Genomic DNA, 15876 nt, shown 5'->3' on the forward strand with positions numbered 1-15876 from the left:
CTCTTTTGGGGTTCTTCCTTTCTCTCTCAGCTCTCCGTCTCTCTTTCTCTCTCAGCCTCTTTCTTTCTCCCTGTCTCCCCCACTGTCAGCACCTCTTCTGTGTGGTGAGTGGACCGCTTACCCCACTAGGTGAAGATGTCAGCCCAGGAGAGCTGCCTCAGCCTCATCAAGTACTTCCTCTTCGTTTTCAACCTCTTCTTCTTCGTGAGTTGCCTCATGGCTACCCAGCCGGGGCCCAGCCCCTGCCGCTAACCCAGCCCTCATCTTCCCCTGTGGCCCACCCCCGTATCCGCATCTCCTCTCCCCAGGTCCTCGGCAGCCTGATCTTCTGCTTCGGCATCTGGATCCTCATTGACAAGACCAGCTTCGTGTCCTTTGTGGGTGAGGGGGGCTGGGGCAGGTGGGAGGGCCTCCCCCAACCCAAGCAACTTCCTGGGGTCTCCCTTGTCTCAGGGAGACCTACGGTGCCCTACTCTGCAGGCAGGCTACAGGCTCCCATCCACTGCTCACCGGAGGCTTCTTGGAGCCTGAGTCTTCTTCCGGCAAATGGGGTTGTGCATACAAACAACAATGATCATGAGAGCCATTTCTCAAGCACTTCCTATCTGTCGGGACTTGTGGCTGGTCAGATGCCCCCACAAACCTTCCCCTCGCTTGAGGTTCAGAGAGGGGAAGCCCCTTGATGGATGTCATACAGCAAGGACGTAAAAGAGCCAAAATAACATTAATAATAGGAAAATAATAATGAAGTATGACCCTAAATAATAATGAAATATAACCCTAAACGCTCATATTTAAGAAGTCTTTGCCCTGTGTTGAGGACTGGGTTGAACACATGTCCTCATGTGTCTCTCAAAATGACCCTAGGGGCCGGGCGCGGTGGCTCACACCTGTAATTCCAGCACTTTGGGAAGCCGAGGCAGGTGGATCACTTGAGGTCAGGAGTTCGAGAATAGCCTGGCCAACATGGTGAAACCCTGTCTCTACTCAAAAATACAAAACGTTAGCCAGGCATGGTGGCACATGCCTGTAGTCGCAGCTACTAGGGAGGCTGAGGCAGGAGAATCACTTGAACCTGGGAGGCAGAGGTTGCAGTGAGCCGAGATCACATCACTGCACTCCAGCCTGGGGGACAGAGCGAGGCTCCAACTCAAAAAAAAACCCTAAGAAATAGATATCATCTCCTATGCCTCAGGGAGGTTTAAGGAGCCAAGCCAATGTCACAGAACAAGTGATAGGGCTGAAACTACTGGGGACGAGGAGGAGCTGAAGGAGGAAGGAGAGGGTAAGAGGAAGAGAGACAGAGATCCAGGGACGGGAAACAGGCCCAGAAAGAAGAGAAAGTTTCAGAAGGAAACAGGGACTCAGGGTGGGGCAGGGACAGAGTCCCAGAGAGAGGGGCACCAAGATACTGCTCCCCACTTGGGTGGCTGCCTAGGTGGGAAATGGGGCTGCCTGGAGCTGTGCCACACAGCTCATCATCACTCCCCTCACCTCTCCCAGGCTTGGCCTTCGTGCCTCTGCAGATCTGGTCCAAAGTCCTGGCCATCTCAGGAATCTTCACCATGGGCATCGCCCTCCTGGGTTGTGTGGGGGCCCTCAAGGAGCTCCGCTGCCTCCTGGGCCTGGTGAGTGCACCATCCCTCTCCGTCCCTAGGAACACTCCTATCCCCACCCTCAAAAATGGCCTGGGCCGGGGTTGCAGGGGTGGTCAGCCTGATCTCTCCACTCTGCTCCCCAGTATTTTGGGATGCTGCTGCTCCTGTTTGCCACACAGATCACCCTGGGAATCCTCATCTCCACTCAGCGGGCCCAGGTGAGCTTCCTGCAGTGGCCACCACCCACCCCCAGCAGGGAGGAGAGGGAAGGGAGTGGTGGGAGAGGGTGGAGAGAGACCGAAACAAGGGCAGACAGGGGCTAACCTAGATAAAGAGAAATAAGAGGCTGGGCCTGGTGGCTCACGCCTGTAATCCCATAATCCCAGCACTTTGGGAGGCTGAGGTGGGAGTCCAGGAGTTTGAGACCAGCCTGGGCAACATAGTGAGACCCCATCTATATTTAAAAAAAAAATCCGGGTGTGATGGTGTGCACCTGGGGTCCCAGCTACTTGGGAGGTCGAGGTGGGAGGATCACTTGAGCCAGGGAGTTTGAGGCTACAGTGAGCCATGCACTCAGCCTGGGTGACAGAGTGAGACCCTGTCTCAAAAAATAAATTAATAGAAAGACACACCGACCTGGACCAAGGGAGACAGGCATAAACAGCTCCAAAGGGAAACACACGGGAAAAAGAGAGAACAAGAGAAAGAAATAGACGCCCTGAAAGAAGAGACAGAGACTTATGAGCCGTAGAAATAGTGGAAGAAACAGAAAGACAGACCTGAAGTACACAGAGCTAGCCATTCAGTAAGGATTTGAGACTGGCCCAGAGATGCACAGGGCCCGCCTGAGGCTGGCACAGCCTGAGAGGGGGAGGGGTGGGGCGGGGAAGATAAGGCCCAGCCTCACTGGTGGCCTCTCAGCTGGAGCGAAGCTTGCGGGACGTCGTAGAGAAAACCATCCAAAAGTACGGCACCAACCCCGAGGAGACCGCGGCCGAGGAGAGCTGGGACTATGTGCAGTTCCAGGTAAGCCCCCCTCCTCCAGTTCCCTCCCGGACTGACCCGCCTCAGCCCTGTGCTTGGAGGAGACTCCACCCCAACGTGGGCCCGACCCCCAGCTCTACGATCCTAACACACCCCAATCCCTCCCAGGCCCGACGCTCCCCACTCCCCAGATGACACAACTGTCCCCGGCGTCGCCTGGTCTCCCAGTACCCAGACCCTGGCGTGGCTTCGCCATCTACCTCGAGAGACTCCGCCCCCGCCCCCGCCCCGACCAGAGGTTGTCAGGCCCCTAGTCCCAAGACCCTAGCGAGACACGGCTTCCTACCCCGTAGTGACTCTGGCTTCCACCGGACCCCGCCCCCGATGAGACTCACATGGTCTCGCACTCCTATTCACCTGTCGGGTATCAGAGGCTCAATTGCACCACCCACCCAATCTCTAGTCCACAGCGCGACCCTGCAGCTCCTTCCCCAGCCCCAGGTCACCCCGTGACTCGTCTTTCCCAGCCCCATGTTCCCGTAATGTCCCCTGGCTCCGGCCCCATCGTGACCCCAGCCCACTGTCCCCCACTCCACACCCACCACTTAGTCCCCTGCTCCCCGACCTGACCTCATACCCATCACCTTGTCCCCTGATCCCCAACATCATATGTCTCCAGTCCCGGTCCCTCTGACTCGTATCCCTCTCCCAGCTGCGCTGCTGCGGCTGGCACTACCCGCAGGACTGGTTCCAAGTCCTCATCCTGAGAGGTAACGGGTCGGAGGCGCACCGCGTGCCCTGCTCCTGCTACAACTTGTCGGCGACCAACGACTCCACAATCCTAGATAAGGTGATCTTGCCCCAGCTCAGCAGGCTTGGACACCTGGCGCGGTCCAGACACAGTGCAGACATCTGCGCTGTCCCTGCAGAGAGCCACATCTACCGCGAGGTGGGCAGGGGTTCGGAGCATAAACCTGTCGAATGGGGCGGGGCCTGCGGGAGGGGGAGGGCTGTCAGTGAGTAGCGGCCTGAGAAAGGGCGGGGTCTACGAGAAAAGGAAAGGTACGGCAGGAGGGGCGGGGCCCTCTGAAGGGGGCGGGGTCTGCAGGAAGGGCAGGGCCTAAAGAAAAGGCTGGGCTGGCTCTGGAATACAGATGTCTAGGGAGGGGCCAGGCTTGGAAAAGGTGAAGCGAGGGTGCACTAGTAAGGAGACTAGAGTGCCCTGGTGACTAGGGGAGCGGGTAGATGCCTGAAGACGGTGAGGGTTGGCCTGAAAAGAACGCTGGGCCTGGGCTTGAGAGTCCCAGAAAGAATCCCTTTAACTTTTCCCTACACCCCCCAGGGCTGCGCGCAGGGCCTCCAGAAGTGGCTGCACAACAACCTTATTTCCATAGTGGGCATTTGCCTGGGCGTCGGCCTACTCGAGGTGATCTGGCCCCGCCCCCACCCGCGATCGGCCCTAAATCCCTAGATGGCCCTGCCCTTCATTTCGCGTCCTTCGGTTGCCTGGGAAGGACGAGCTCAGGGCGGAGCGCAGCCCACCCCGGCCCTCCCGCCGCTCCACCCAGCACCGGAGGGTGGGGGCGGCCCAGCTTCAGGGAGCCCTGATTGGGTGTACGCAGGGAAAGCCTCCTGCTATTGGCTGCGATCTCCCTCCCCTTTCTCCGCAGATGACTGTCATGGTGCTGAGCGTACAGCTACAGCGCAGGGCACTCCGCCGGAAATGCGAGCCGCACGTGCCGGGCGCTGGGGATTCGAGCCCCGGGCCCAGCCTGATCGCTGACGGCGGCGGCGGGCACAGCGGCAGTCTGTGGGGTGGCTGGGGCATGGCGGGTGCCTGCCCCAACTGGGGAGACAAGGCACCGCAGGGCAAGCTGCCCATGGCCCTGGGGCTCTGGCCGCTGTGGGTTCAAGACGAGGACCAGCCTGACACTGGAAGTGCGGGCGCAGAATTAGAGGAGGCACAATTAGAGGCTGAGGCAGAGGGGGAAGACAGATGAGCCTCCAAAATAAAGGACCCTGGGCTTGCTTCCGACCTTACTCCTTCTCAGCCTCTACCCCCACTTGTAGCAGCTATTCCCGCCTCATCAGCCAGCCCTGCGGCAGTTCCCGTCGAGCCCCGCCCTTTTCTACCTATCCCCTTCTCCAGCCCCTTCCCGCCCAATTCACGGCCCCACCCCTGACCTTTCTCGCCCGGGTGGGCATCACCCCCGTCTCGCCAGCACCCCTTCGACTTCTCTGACCTCATCTCCTTTCTCTATAGCTCGGGTTCATGACGCTCTCGATATTCCTGTGCAGAAACCTGGACCACGTCTACAACCGGCTCGCTCGATACCGTTAGGCCCCGCCCTCCCCAAAGTCCCGCCCCGCCCCCGTCACGTGCGCTGGGCACTTCCCTGCTGCCTGTAAATATTTGTTTAATCCCCAGTTCGCCTGGAGCCCTCCGCCTTCACATTCCCCTGGGGACCCACGTGGCTGCGTGCCCCTGCTGCTGTCACCTCTCCCACGGGACCTGGGGCTTTCGTCCACAGCTTCCTGTCCCCATCTGTCGGCCTACCACCACCCACAAGATTATTTTTCACCCAAACCTCAAATAAATCCCCTGCGTTTTTGGTAAAATAGCTTTATCCTCTGTCAGAACACAAACAAACAAACTTTGAGAGGGGAGGAAGGAAACCGTCTAGCTCAGGGCTCACTTAGGAGAGGGATGAGATTAGAAAGTTCAACACACTGCTTGTGCAGCGGAGATAAAGTCAAGACCCTAGCACCCACTTATAAATATCTCGTTATATTAAAAAAAAAAAAAATGTCCAGGGCCCACCTGGCTCTGCTCCTGCACAGAAAGGGTTCATCTTCACTTTGTGATCTCACAGGTCATGGAGTGAGGGTGGTAGAGAGGGGCAGAAATTTCAGGGGGAGGGGTGGCTGGGAAAAAGTAAAGGGGACAAGCCAATGTGTAACTAGCGCTCTCCAAGACATGCAGAGGAGTGGGGGTGGCCTGTCAGGGGCTGAAAAGAAAAGCCAGTGCTGTACCTGGGGGGTTGTCTCACTCCTGTCCCCACAATCCCTGATACTCCGGAGTGATCTGTCCTTTCAGACACCCACTGTGAGGTCCCAATATCGGGGTTTATCCTTTCCTCAGTCCCAGCCTGTTCAGCTCTCCAACCAAGTTTTGGGGGCCCCTCTAATGGGGGGGATGGCCCCAGTTGCTTAGGCCTCTGAGGTCAACCCCTTTACATCACAGCCCTCTCCCCAAATAAGAAGCATGAGGTGAGCTGGAGGACCCTCCCTGGGAGGAGGGTGTTCTGGGGGGTGAGCCAGTTTTGGGGTCCCCCTTCAGTCCCTGACCAGGCGGTAAATGTGATGCTGGGCCCCACGCTCGCTGGTGGAGACCTCGAAGACATAGGCGGTGCAGAGCAGCAGTTCCTGGGTGTCTCTGTTTGTCACCACCTGCCAGGAAGGCCAGGACAAGGGACTTATGCTTAGAAGGGAGGGCAGGGACCCCTGTGCCCCCCTGCCAAGCTATCATGGAATACCCAGCAGGCTCTTTTCCATCTCCAGGAAACAGGCCGCCACCATATCATGTTCCCCAGGAGAAAGGGATGCCCAAAAGTCAGTTCCCTGGGCAATGGGGGTTACCCCTCAGCTGAGCGTTGGCAGTTATGGTGTATCACATCTCAGGGTTAATCGGGTTCCCATCACATCACATTCCCTGGGTAAAAGGGGTCCCCATCATGTCACAAGTAAAGGGAGAACCCTCCCTGCAGGTTCCGCGGTCAAGGGGTCTCTGCCTCAGCAGTCCAAAAAGTTAAAGGGGCTCCCACCATATCATGTTCCTTGACAAGCTGAGGATCTGCCTTCGAGTGCCCTCCAGTCAGCTTCACCAGGGAAGGAGGGACCCACCTTATGTGCGAGTGCTGTGGGGCTGGGCGTGGTGGCTCACACCTGTAATCCCAGCACTTTGGGAGGCCTAGGCAGGTGGATCACTTGAGGTCGGAGATCAAGACCAACCTGGCCAACATGGTGAAACCCCATCTCTACTAAAAATACAAAAATTAGCCAGGCGTGGTGGGGCGTGCCTGTAATCCCAGCTACTCGGGAGGCTGAGGCAGGAGAATCACTTGAACCCGGGAGGCAGAGGTTGCAGTGAGCCGAGATCTTGCCACTGCACTCCAGCCTGGGCGACAGAGCGAGACTCCATCTCAAAAAAAAAAAGAGAGAGAGTGCTGTGACATCCCCACCCTGGGTGAAGGGTCCCCTAAACTAAGGGTCAATGGTGGGGTCCCCGCTGCATCAGTTTCCTAGTTAAAAGAGCCTCAGGCTGAGGGCTCACTTTGGAGTCCCTGCTGTGTCAGTTCCTGGGTGAGGAGATCCCCTAGACTGAGGGTCTGTTATAGGTACTGTCCCTCCACACTGGGGGGCCCCACTCCAGCCCAGCCCCAGGCATCACCTGGAGGATGGTGAAGTTTTCCAGGACGCTGTTCATCATGTATCGCTCAGGCAGCTGCCGCAACTTGTGCAAGAAATTCACCAGGTACTCGCACATGGGCGAGCGCAGCAGGCGGTACACAAATCTGCCGTCCTCCAGCTGGGCCCGTTCCGTCTGAACCAAGGGGAAGGGAGTTGGGAAAATGGTGGCTGAGAGACCCACGGGTCACCCCAGGAATTGAGCTCCACCCTGTGCCTCTAAGATGCCACCACACTCACTCTCACTGCCACCTTCCTTTCATCACCCCACCCACAGTGACTGGAGACTGGGCCTGAACCCTCGGAGATCCGAATCAGGATCTCTGAGCCTGCAAATCACAAGCCCCTCAAAGTGATTCTCTGAACCCCCAAAGACCTCTGGACTCCTCTAACCTCCCAGCCCTCAGATACCCTCCAAAGACCCCTCCATGACGTCTTCAAACTCTGACTTCTAAACTTGAGACTTCCCCAAGTCTCCAGCAACTGTAAGTGTGACTTCTGAACCTTCTTGCCCTAAGAACCTCTCCATATCCATAAGACCCTTCTCAATCTCAGTGACTCTAAGTCTCTATACTACACATTACCTGTCAGCCCGCAGAATGATCCCTGCCTGTGACTTCTGAACTGCCCATTAGCTCCCAACGCATGCATTAAACCCTCAAAGAGGCTGGGACCCACTCCCTCCATGCATACTCCCAAATGCCTGAGTCATGATGGCTTCTGGTCCATTCTGCACCCCCAAGTGCTGACCCAGAGCTCCACCCCTCCAGCCTCACCTCCACCTTCTCCACCACCTGCTTGCCAAAAGAGCAGACCTTGGAGGAACAGGTGAGGGTCATGTGTTCCAGGCTCTCATACTGGCTGCTCACTCCGTAGAAGCCACCACTGCTGATGCTGCCACCGGCCCCTGCCTCCTCACCACTTGGGCCCCAGTTCAGGTCCGCCTGGGAGATGGGAAGGCACAGATGAGTCAGAGGGGACATCCCTTATAAACAGTGGGGACTACCAGGCGCAGTGGTTCACACCTGTAATCCCAGTACTTTGGGAGGCCGAGGCGGGCGGATCACCTGAGGTTGGGAGTTCAAGACCAGCCTGACCAACATGGAGAAACCCCATCTCTACTAAAAATACAAAATTAGCCGGGCGTGGTGGTGCATGCTTGTAATCCCAGCTACTGGGACACTGACGCAGGAGAATCACTTGAACCCGGGAGGCAGAGGTTGCGGTGAGCCGAGATCATACCATTGCACTCCAGCCTGAGCAACGAGAGCGAAACTCCATCTTAAAAAAAAAAAAAACACAGTGGGGACTCTGCCCCATAGCCTACCATTACCCCTGCAGTTCCCGGCTTGATTCTTCAGTGTTGTTTTGTTTTTTTGTTGTTTGTTTGTCTTTTTTTTTGGGGGGGGGGGAACAGGGTCTTGCTCCGTCACCCAGGCAATGTGTGGTGGTACAATCACAGCTCACTGCAGCCTCGACCTCCTGAGCTCAAGTGATCCTCCCATCTCAGCCTCCTGAGTAGCTAGGACCACAGGTGCATGCCACCACATCCAGCTAATATTTTGTATTTTTTGTAGAAACAGGGTTTCACCATGTTGCCCAGGCTGGTCTCCAACTCCTGGGCTCAAGCGATCCTCCCACCTTGGCCTCCGAAAGTGCTGGGATTACAGGCATGAGCCACCGCGTCAGGCTTTCAAAGTTCTCCAAGGGCTGGTTTCTGGAGAAGATCCACCGTCCATCAGCGTTGAAGAAGTCTGGGTCCCCAAAACAGTCTTGGCCCTGTCTCCCCAGTAACCAAAGGAGCCCTGGAATTCAATTTCAACCTTTTTTCTTTTCTTTTTTTTTTTTCTGAGATGAAGTCTCGCTCTTGTTGCCCAGTGCAATGCCGCGATCTTGACTCACTGCAACCTCTGCCTCCCGGGTTCAAGCGATTCTCCTGCCTCAGCCTCCCAAGTGGCTGGGATTACAGGCGCACGCCACCATGTCTGGCTAATTTTTGTATTTTTAGTAGAGACAGGGTTTTGTCATGTTGGCCAGGTTGGTCTCAAACTCCTGAACTCAGGTGATCCACCCACCTAGGCCTCCCAAAGTGCTGAGATTACAGGCATGAGCCACTGTGTCCAGCCAATTCAACCTTTTTCCCTTGAAGCCCGCAACTCAAGAGTTCAGCCCCTTCCAAGGGCCTGGTTACTATGGCAGTTACTTCTTAGCAACCAGTTCAAGATGAATACCTCCCTCTAAGCCCCTCTCACTCTGGTTGCTAAGGCAAGTGGCTACTCCCTAGCAACGGGACCTCACGGAGCCTGAGGAGGCCTGACTCCTCCTCAGAGCACTTCCCCCTCGGCCAAATCTGAGAGGTCAGACTCCCTCCATGACCCCAGTGGCCAAGTGTGTGTAGACAGCTGGCCAAGTGTCACTAGGCCAAGTGGGGCCTAAGGAAGCCTAAGAGCTCATCACACCTTTGGTCTGAGTCACCTCCTTGCGAGGCGCACCTCTTCCTCTTCCTAACTTTAGTTGCTAACACTGTGCCAGGTCCGTCTTCTCAGGGGCCCGACTCCATCTCTCACCGTGGCAAAACCAAAGACCTTACCAGCTGCTCCTCTGAACCCCTTCAGCAGCTGGGCTTCCTAAGGGGGTGGCTCTCCAGTCCTGGGACCTGATAAGGCCTGTCTTAAGCCCCAACAATGTCTAAGCCCTCAGCTGCACATCCCCAGAGCAGTTTCAGGCTTCTGCTTCACATGGCAGAAAGCTCCAGAACCGTGAACAGCAAGCTCCAGAACAACAACACTCCCAGCAAGAACAGTAAAGTTCAGGCCCTCAGCAGGCCTTTCCTTCCTTTCCTTCCTTCCTTCCTTCTTTCTTTCCTTCTTTCTTTTCTTTCCTTTCTTTCCTTCTTCCTTTCTTCCTTTCTTTCTTTCGGCAGGGTCTCATTCTGTCACCCAGGCTGGAGGGCAGTGGCACAATCTTGGCTCACTGCAGCCTCCACCTCCCAGGCTTAAGTGATCCTCCTGCCTCAGCCTCCACAGAAGCTAGGACCACAGGTGCGCACCACCACACCCAGCTAATTTTTTTCATTTTTTGTAGAGTTGAGGTCTCACTGTGTTGCCCAGGCTGGTGTCAAACTCTTGAACACAAGCGAAACTCTCGCCTCAGCTTCCCAAAGTGCTGGGAAGATAGGAGTGAACCACCACACCTAGCCAGGCTTTCTTCTCAGAGACTAGATCCCTCCACCACCTTTGTTACTATAAGAACTAGCACCCCCTAAACATCCAGGCAACATTTATTGAGCCCAGGCCAGGCACTGTGGCTCACACTTGTAATCCCAGCACTTTGGGAGGCCAAGGTGGGTGGATCACTTGAGGTCAGGAGTTCGAGACCAGACTGGCCAACATGGTAAAACCCTGTCTCTACTAAAAATACAAAAATTAGGCCAGGTGCAGTGGCTCATGCCTGTAATCCCAGCACTTGGAGAGGCCAAGGTGAGCGGATCACATGAGGTCAGGAGTTCAAGATCAGCCTGGCCAACATGACGAAACTCCGTCTCTACTAAAAATACAAAAATTAGCTGGGCATGGTCGTGCATGCCTGTAATCCCAGCTACTTGGGAGGCTGAGGCTGGAGAATCGCTTGAACCCAGGAGGCAGAGGTTGCAGTGAGCCGAGATCGCACCATTGCACTCCAGCCTGGGCAACAAGAGCAAAATTCCATCTCAAAAAAAAAAAAAAAAAAAACAATAAAAGAAAATAAAACACATTTATTGAACCCCTGTAGTGTTAGTCATCATACTGGACACCAAACCAAGTAGCCCTAAGAAACACGCAAGATGGGCCCTCTTAGTCCCAATCATATAAATAGCAGCTGACACCAGGCGTCTATATAGGAAGTGCTCAATAAATGATTGCTACATAAATACAGGACTTGGACGGGTGCGGTGGCTCACACCTGTAATCCCAGCACTTTGGGAGGCCAAGGTGGGCAGATCATTTGAGGCCAGGAGTTCAAGACCAGCCTGGCCAACATGGTGAAACCCCGTCTGTACTAAATATACAAAAATTAGCCAGATGTGGTGGCGGGTGCCTGTAGTCCAATCTACTGGGGAGGCTGAGGCAGGAGAATCGCTTGAATCCAGGAGGCGGAGGTTGCCGTGAGCCAAGATACAGCCACTGCACTCCAGCCTGGGTGACAGTGAGACTATGTCTCAAAAATAAATAAATAAACAAATAAATGAATACAGGACTTGGCAAAGCCACTCCATGGCTCTTTTCATCACTTCCTCAAAGCCAGACATTCTCTAGCAACAAGGTCTGGTGAAACTGATGCAAAGCATCAGTCCCCTCTTTAGAAACCAGTCTCCACAAGTCCACTGGCTACGGGGAGGGGTCTTTCCTTAGCAGCACGGCTTGGTGCAGTCAGGTGGGGCACAGGGAAGCCTGGAACATGGCAAGCCCATGCCCAGGACCCTATTAGCTACATGGCCAGGTAACTCACCGTATTAGTTACATGTGGCAATGTCTAGTGGGATCCAGGGAGGCCCAGACACCTCCAACCCACCCTGGGGGCTGGCCTCCTCGGTGTTCCTTGTTGCAAAGGGGGCTGACACTCCAAGCCATGAGGACTGACTGGTAAGTCCCAGGCTGACCTGGTAGGGCCCGCGACAGATTCTCTCAGGGCCAGAGGCCTTTGCTGGGACACCACAGGATTTGTGAGCACTTTTGATTTTGCTGTGAGAACTCACCCAGAACTTGACCAGGAAGAAGGCATGGGGGGGGCCACGATCATATAGCTCTCGGAGGCCACCCTTTTTCTCAGGGAATTTGTCGTAGATCTGCCGGACGTCCACACTCTCGAGCGGCGGCGCTCCGGGGCTGGGGCAGTGCTGGCTGATGTGCACGAACAGGTGCCTCTGGTACTGAGGAGGGTTGGCCGTGGGTGAGAAGTCGGAGGTGAGCTGGATCTCCAGCCTGTGCTGCCTGAGCCCACCAAATGCCGTCACCATCCCCACAGCTCTGGCCAGCTGTTCCACACAGTCCACCCAGCACTGGGCCTGACTGCCACCCATCGTCCCCACTCCTGCTTCTGCACCCAGTCCCCTGCAGCCCTGCAGTCCTACAGTCCCCAACTCCCTGCCACAACTCCCCCAACTCCATCCTCACTGCCTCAGCCTCACCTCAGGCCTCCCACCCTCACCCCAGCCTCCAACCTCGCCTCTCCAGTTCATCCCTCATGTGGCTCCAGACCTGCCCCTGACCCTCCCCTGGTCATGGCCCTCCCATAGCTCCCCAGCAGCCCCAGGGCAAAGCTCACACCCCCTAGGCCTGGTCCTATATAGAACAGGTGCTCATAAATGGTCAATGGATGGAAGAGTGAATGAATGGGAATCCACAGAGGTCTTGTGGTTGATGTTTTGATTGATGTTTATATGGTGTGGCAGAGACTGCTACGTGTTCACAAATCCTGGTTCCTTTACACAGTGTGAAACTACATTTCCCAGGCCGCTTTGCAGTTAGGTGTGACCACATGACTAAGTTCTGGCCAATGGGATGTGACCAGGCCTGAGAGTCGACACATCCAAGTCAGATTCCTAAAACCTCCTGCACAATCTTGACTCTCTCCCTTCCTCCATCTGCTGGCCAGATGCAGAGACTCCATCAGCAGATTCTGAAGCCTTAGAAAATGGCAGAGCCACAAAATGGAAGGAGCCTGGATCCCCAAATCACTTGAGTCCAAGGCTCCTGCTGAACCTACATTGAAATGTTACATGCAACTTATCTGGCATTCAGTCCCTAAGAGTTAGGAGCTGTTTCTTCTAACAGTCGGCCCACTCCATCCTAGCCCAGGAGAAGCTCAAGCACAGAAATAAAATCTTTTCCAAGTTCCTAGTATGCATCACAAAGCCTAGTGAACAGTAGAAACTCAAACACGTTTGATAAATGAATGAATGATGTCCTGGGGAGCTTTTCTGACCTTCCCAACTTGTCACCCTATGACCTTCCAGTTCCTTTATGCTAGTAGTTCTCAAAGTACGGTCCCCAGACCAGCTGCATCAACGCACCTGGTAGCTTATTAGAAATGCAAATTCTCAAGCCCCACATCACATCTAGCAAATCAGAAAGCAATCTCTGTTTTAAGAAGCCCTTCAGATGATTCTGATACATGCTAAAGTTTTAAAACCATGACTTTATACATTCCCTTCCTGTCACCCTCTATATTTCAAAATCCCTCAGCGACTGTACCAAAATTTCACTCACAGAATCAACTGCATCTGGCGGTTCCACGAAGGCTGAGAACTCTACCAGCTGCAACCGGGCGGTGCCCAGGCCCCGAGCCTGCCAGGCTGGGGGCGATGGGGTAGGTGGGGGCAGGGGTGAGAGGGCTTGGGGGGGCTCGTACCCTAGAGAGAGAGAAGAAAGAACAATACAAATTGCTAACATTTATGGAATATATCAGGTACTGTTGTCTCTTGCCTGCCTCCACTTAGAAGCTGAAAAAGCTAAATACTCACTTTCCCAGCCTCCCTTGCAGTTAGAAGTGGCCATGTGACACAGTCCTAGCCAATGAGACGTTAGGGGAAATCTGCTGGGGGGCTTCTGGGAAGGAGTTTCTTCCTGAATGAAAAAGACAGAACTTTGGGAGGAGAAAGCTTTTGGCCCTGGCCAAGTCCTGCTTGGGAGATTGATATGGTTTGGATATTTGTCCCCTCCAAATCTCATGTTGAAATGTGATCCCCAGCTGGGCACGGTGGCTCACACCTGTAATCCCAGCACTTTGGGAGGCCAACGCAGGTGGATCACAAGGTCAGGAGATTGAGACCGTCCTGGCTAACATGGTGAAACCCTGTCTCTACTAAAAATACAAAATATTAGCTGGGCATGGTGGCACGTGCCTGTAATCCCAGCTACTTAGGAGGCTGAGGCAGGAGAATGGCTTGAACCCAGGAGGCGGGGGTTGCAGTGAGCCGAGATTGCGCCACTGCACTCCAGACTGGGGGACAGAGCGAGACTCTGTCTCAAAAAAAAAAAAAAAAGTGTGATCCCCAAGGTTGGAGGTGGGGCCTGATGGGAAGTGCTTGGGTCATGGGGGTGGATCCCTCATGAATGTCTTGGTGCCTTCCCCATAGTAACAAGTGAATTCTCACTCTTTGAGTTGATGTGAGCTGGCTGTTTAAAGGAGCCTGGCTTCGCTCTCTTGCTCCCTCTCACCATGTGACATAGTGGCTCCCCTTCCCCTTCCACCATGGTCCTAAGCTTCCTGAGGCCCTCACCAGAAGCATAGGCTGGCAACATGCTTCCTGTACAGCCTGCAGAACTGTGAACCAAATAAACCTCTTTTCTTTATAAATCACCCAGTTTCAGGCATTCCTTTACAGCAATGCAAATGGACCAACACAGACATGATCCCTGGAGTTGCAACAGCCATCTTGGGACAATAAGACAGACATGAGAGGAACTACAGAGATTCCAGTCCTGATATTGCTAAGCCCACACGGGAACAGCCCACCTCCAGGCTTTTTGTTGCATGGATTCATAACATGAATGCTTTTACTATTTAAGGCACTTTTAATGTGGGTCTTCTGTTACTTGCAGCCAAAAGTATTCCTAATTGATAAATCTATGGAAACTAAGGGACTCCCTCTTTCACTGATGTGAGTTCTCAGGGCCATATCAGCATGGACTTCCAGAAGCCATCTTTGCTGCCAAGTAGCTGAGTCTGCCTGGGAATGAAGCCACCACAGTGGAAAGCAGATCAAAGTAATGACTGATGCCATCACTTGAGCCGCTGGATCCAGCCACGCCTGAGGCCATAATTCTGAACTGTCAGTTACTGGAACCAATAAATCAATACATTTTTCTTATTATTTTTTATTTTATTTATTTATTTATTTTGAGACAGAGTCTTGCTCTGTCGCCCAGTCTGGAGTGCAACGGTGCCACCTCGGCTCACTGCAACCTCTGCCTCCCAGGTTCAAGTGATTCTCCTGCCTCAGCCTCCCGAGTAGCTGGGATTACAGGCAAGTGCTACTGCTACCACGCCTGGCTAATTTTTGTATTTTTTAGTAGAGGTTGGGGGGGGTGGTTTCGCCATGTTGGCCAGGTTGGTCTCGAACTCCTGACCTCAGGTGATCCACCCGCCTAGGCCTCCCAAAGTGCTGGGATTACAGCTGTGAGCCACCGCACCTGCCTCTTCTTTTTTAAAATGTTGCTTCAGCTGGCTTGATTTGGATTTCTATCACTTGCAGCTGAAAGAATCTTGACTAACATACCTCCCCCATGTCTCATAAGCTAGCAAGTGGCAGAACACAAACCCAGTGTGTGGCTGCAAAGACCAAAATCTCCTAACCATCACCAGTTCCACCACTCAGCTCTCCAGCCCCTCCCGGCTCCCCCGCCCCCAACACACACACCCTGCCTCAAAGCTGGGCTTCAGTAAGAATGTATCCCCTAATTGGCCGGGTGCGGTGGCTCACACCTGTAATCCCAGCACTTTGGAAAGCCGAGGCAGGCGGATCACAATATCAAAAGATCGAGACCATCCTGGTCAACATGGTGAAACCCGATCTCTACTAAAAATACAAAAATTAGCCCGGCATGGTGGCGGGCACCTGTAATCCCAGCCACTCGGGAGGCTGAGGCAGGAGAATCACTTGAACCCAGGAGGCGGAGGTTGCAGTGAGCCGAGATCACGCCACTGCACTCCAGCCTGGCGACAGAGGGAGACTCCATCTCAAAACAAAACAAAATAAAACAAAAAAAACAATGTATCCCTCAATTGATGGAAGGTTGAAGGAAAGGCAGTAGGGGTCGAAGAGAGAGAGGGGAGACAAGGGAGG

General features: G+C 54.4%; 3 protein-coding genes across 51 annotated transcripts in view, besides 3 other annotated features; 1 reads left to right on the forward strand and 2 right to left on the reverse strand.

Moving 5' to 3' along the window:
- The window catches only part of SLC6A16 (solute carrier family 6 member 16), a 50693-nt gene extending 45768 nt beyond the window's left edge, over positions 1–4925 (reverse strand). For all 4 annotated transcript variants that reach the window (XM_047438703.1, XM_047438702.1, XM_011526860.3 and 1 more), the window contains exon 1: positions 4826–4925. In XM_047438703.1, the coding sequence (XP_047294659.1) occupies positions 4826–4830 (5 nt within the window). In that variant the 5' untranslated portion in view covers positions 4831–4925. The remainder of the gene's footprint in view (positions 1–4825) is intronic.
- Positions 1–5201, forward strand: CD37 (CD37 molecule). Of its 5 annotated transcripts, none has more exons than XM_005259435.4 (8): positions 1–204; positions 309–381; positions 1504–1628; positions 1742–1816; positions 2520–2624; positions 3295–3531; positions 3925–4008; positions 4253–5201. In XM_005259435.4, the coding sequence occupies exons 1-8, from the start codon at positions 136–138 to the stop codon at positions 4580–4582; spliced, it is 1098 nt and encodes a 365-aa protein (XP_005259492.1). In that variant the 5' UTR covers positions 1–135; the 3' UTR covers positions 4583–5201. The 5 variants fall into 5 exon arrangements, with proteins under 5 accessions (XP_005259492.1, NP_001765.1, XP_011525844.1 ...); NM_001774.3 differs by having other exon boundaries at positions 4846–5201; XM_011527542.4 differs by having other exon boundaries at positions 1–170.
- Positions 112–231: an enhancer, noted in NCBI's record as "active region_14935". NCBI's record gives its function as "activates an Ori minimal core promoter by ATAC-STARR-seq in GM12878 lymphoblastoid cells {active_cell/tissue: GM12878}" and the evidence as "EXISTENCE:reporter gene assay evidence [ECO:0000049][PMID:35858748]".
- Positions 4059–5034: an enhancer, noted in NCBI's record as "H3K27ac-H3K4me1 hESC enhancer chr19:49842721-49843696 (GRCh37/hg19 assembly coordinates)". NCBI's record gives its function as "activates a minimal SCP1, AML or CMV promoter by ChIP-STARR-seq in naive H9 embryonic stem cells {active_cell/tissue: H9 hESC(naive)}" and the evidence as "EXISTENCE:reporter gene assay evidence [ECO:0000049][PMID:30033119]".
- The window catches only part of TEAD2 (TEA domain transcription factor 2), a 21822-nt gene continuing 11135 nt past the window's right edge, over positions 5190–15876 (reverse strand). For 28 of the 42 annotated variants that reach the window (NM_001256662.2, XM_047439541.1, NM_003598.2 and 25 more), the window contains 5 exons: positions 13298–13440; positions 11785–11958; positions 7826–7993; positions 7033–7185; positions 5190–6032 (listed from right to left, as the gene is read on the reverse strand). In NM_001256662.2, coding sequence (NP_001243591.1) covers positions 5919–6032; positions 7033–7185; positions 7826–7993; positions 11785–11958; positions 13298–13440 — 752 coding nt within the window. In that variant the 3' untranslated portion in view covers positions 5190–5918. Of the gene's footprint in view, positions 6033–7032; positions 7186–7825; positions 7994–11784; positions 11959–13297; positions 13441–13551; positions 13655–15876 lie in introns of those variants that run through there. The other 14 variants (XM_047439538.1, XM_047439537.1, XM_047439535.1 and 11 more) reach the window with 3 other exon arrangements.
- Positions 7684–7783: an enhancer, noted in NCBI's record as "active region_14936". NCBI's record gives its function as "activates an Ori minimal core promoter by ATAC-STARR-seq in GM12878 lymphoblastoid cells {active_cell/tissue: GM12878}" and the evidence as "EXISTENCE:reporter gene assay evidence [ECO:0000049][PMID:35858748]".

The sequence above is a fragment of the Homo sapiens genome, chromosome 19, assembly GCF_000001405.40.
Source record: "Homo sapiens chromosome 19, GRCh38.p14 Primary Assembly".
NCBI lineage: Eukaryota > Metazoa > Chordata > Mammalia > Primates > Hominidae > Homo > Homo sapiens.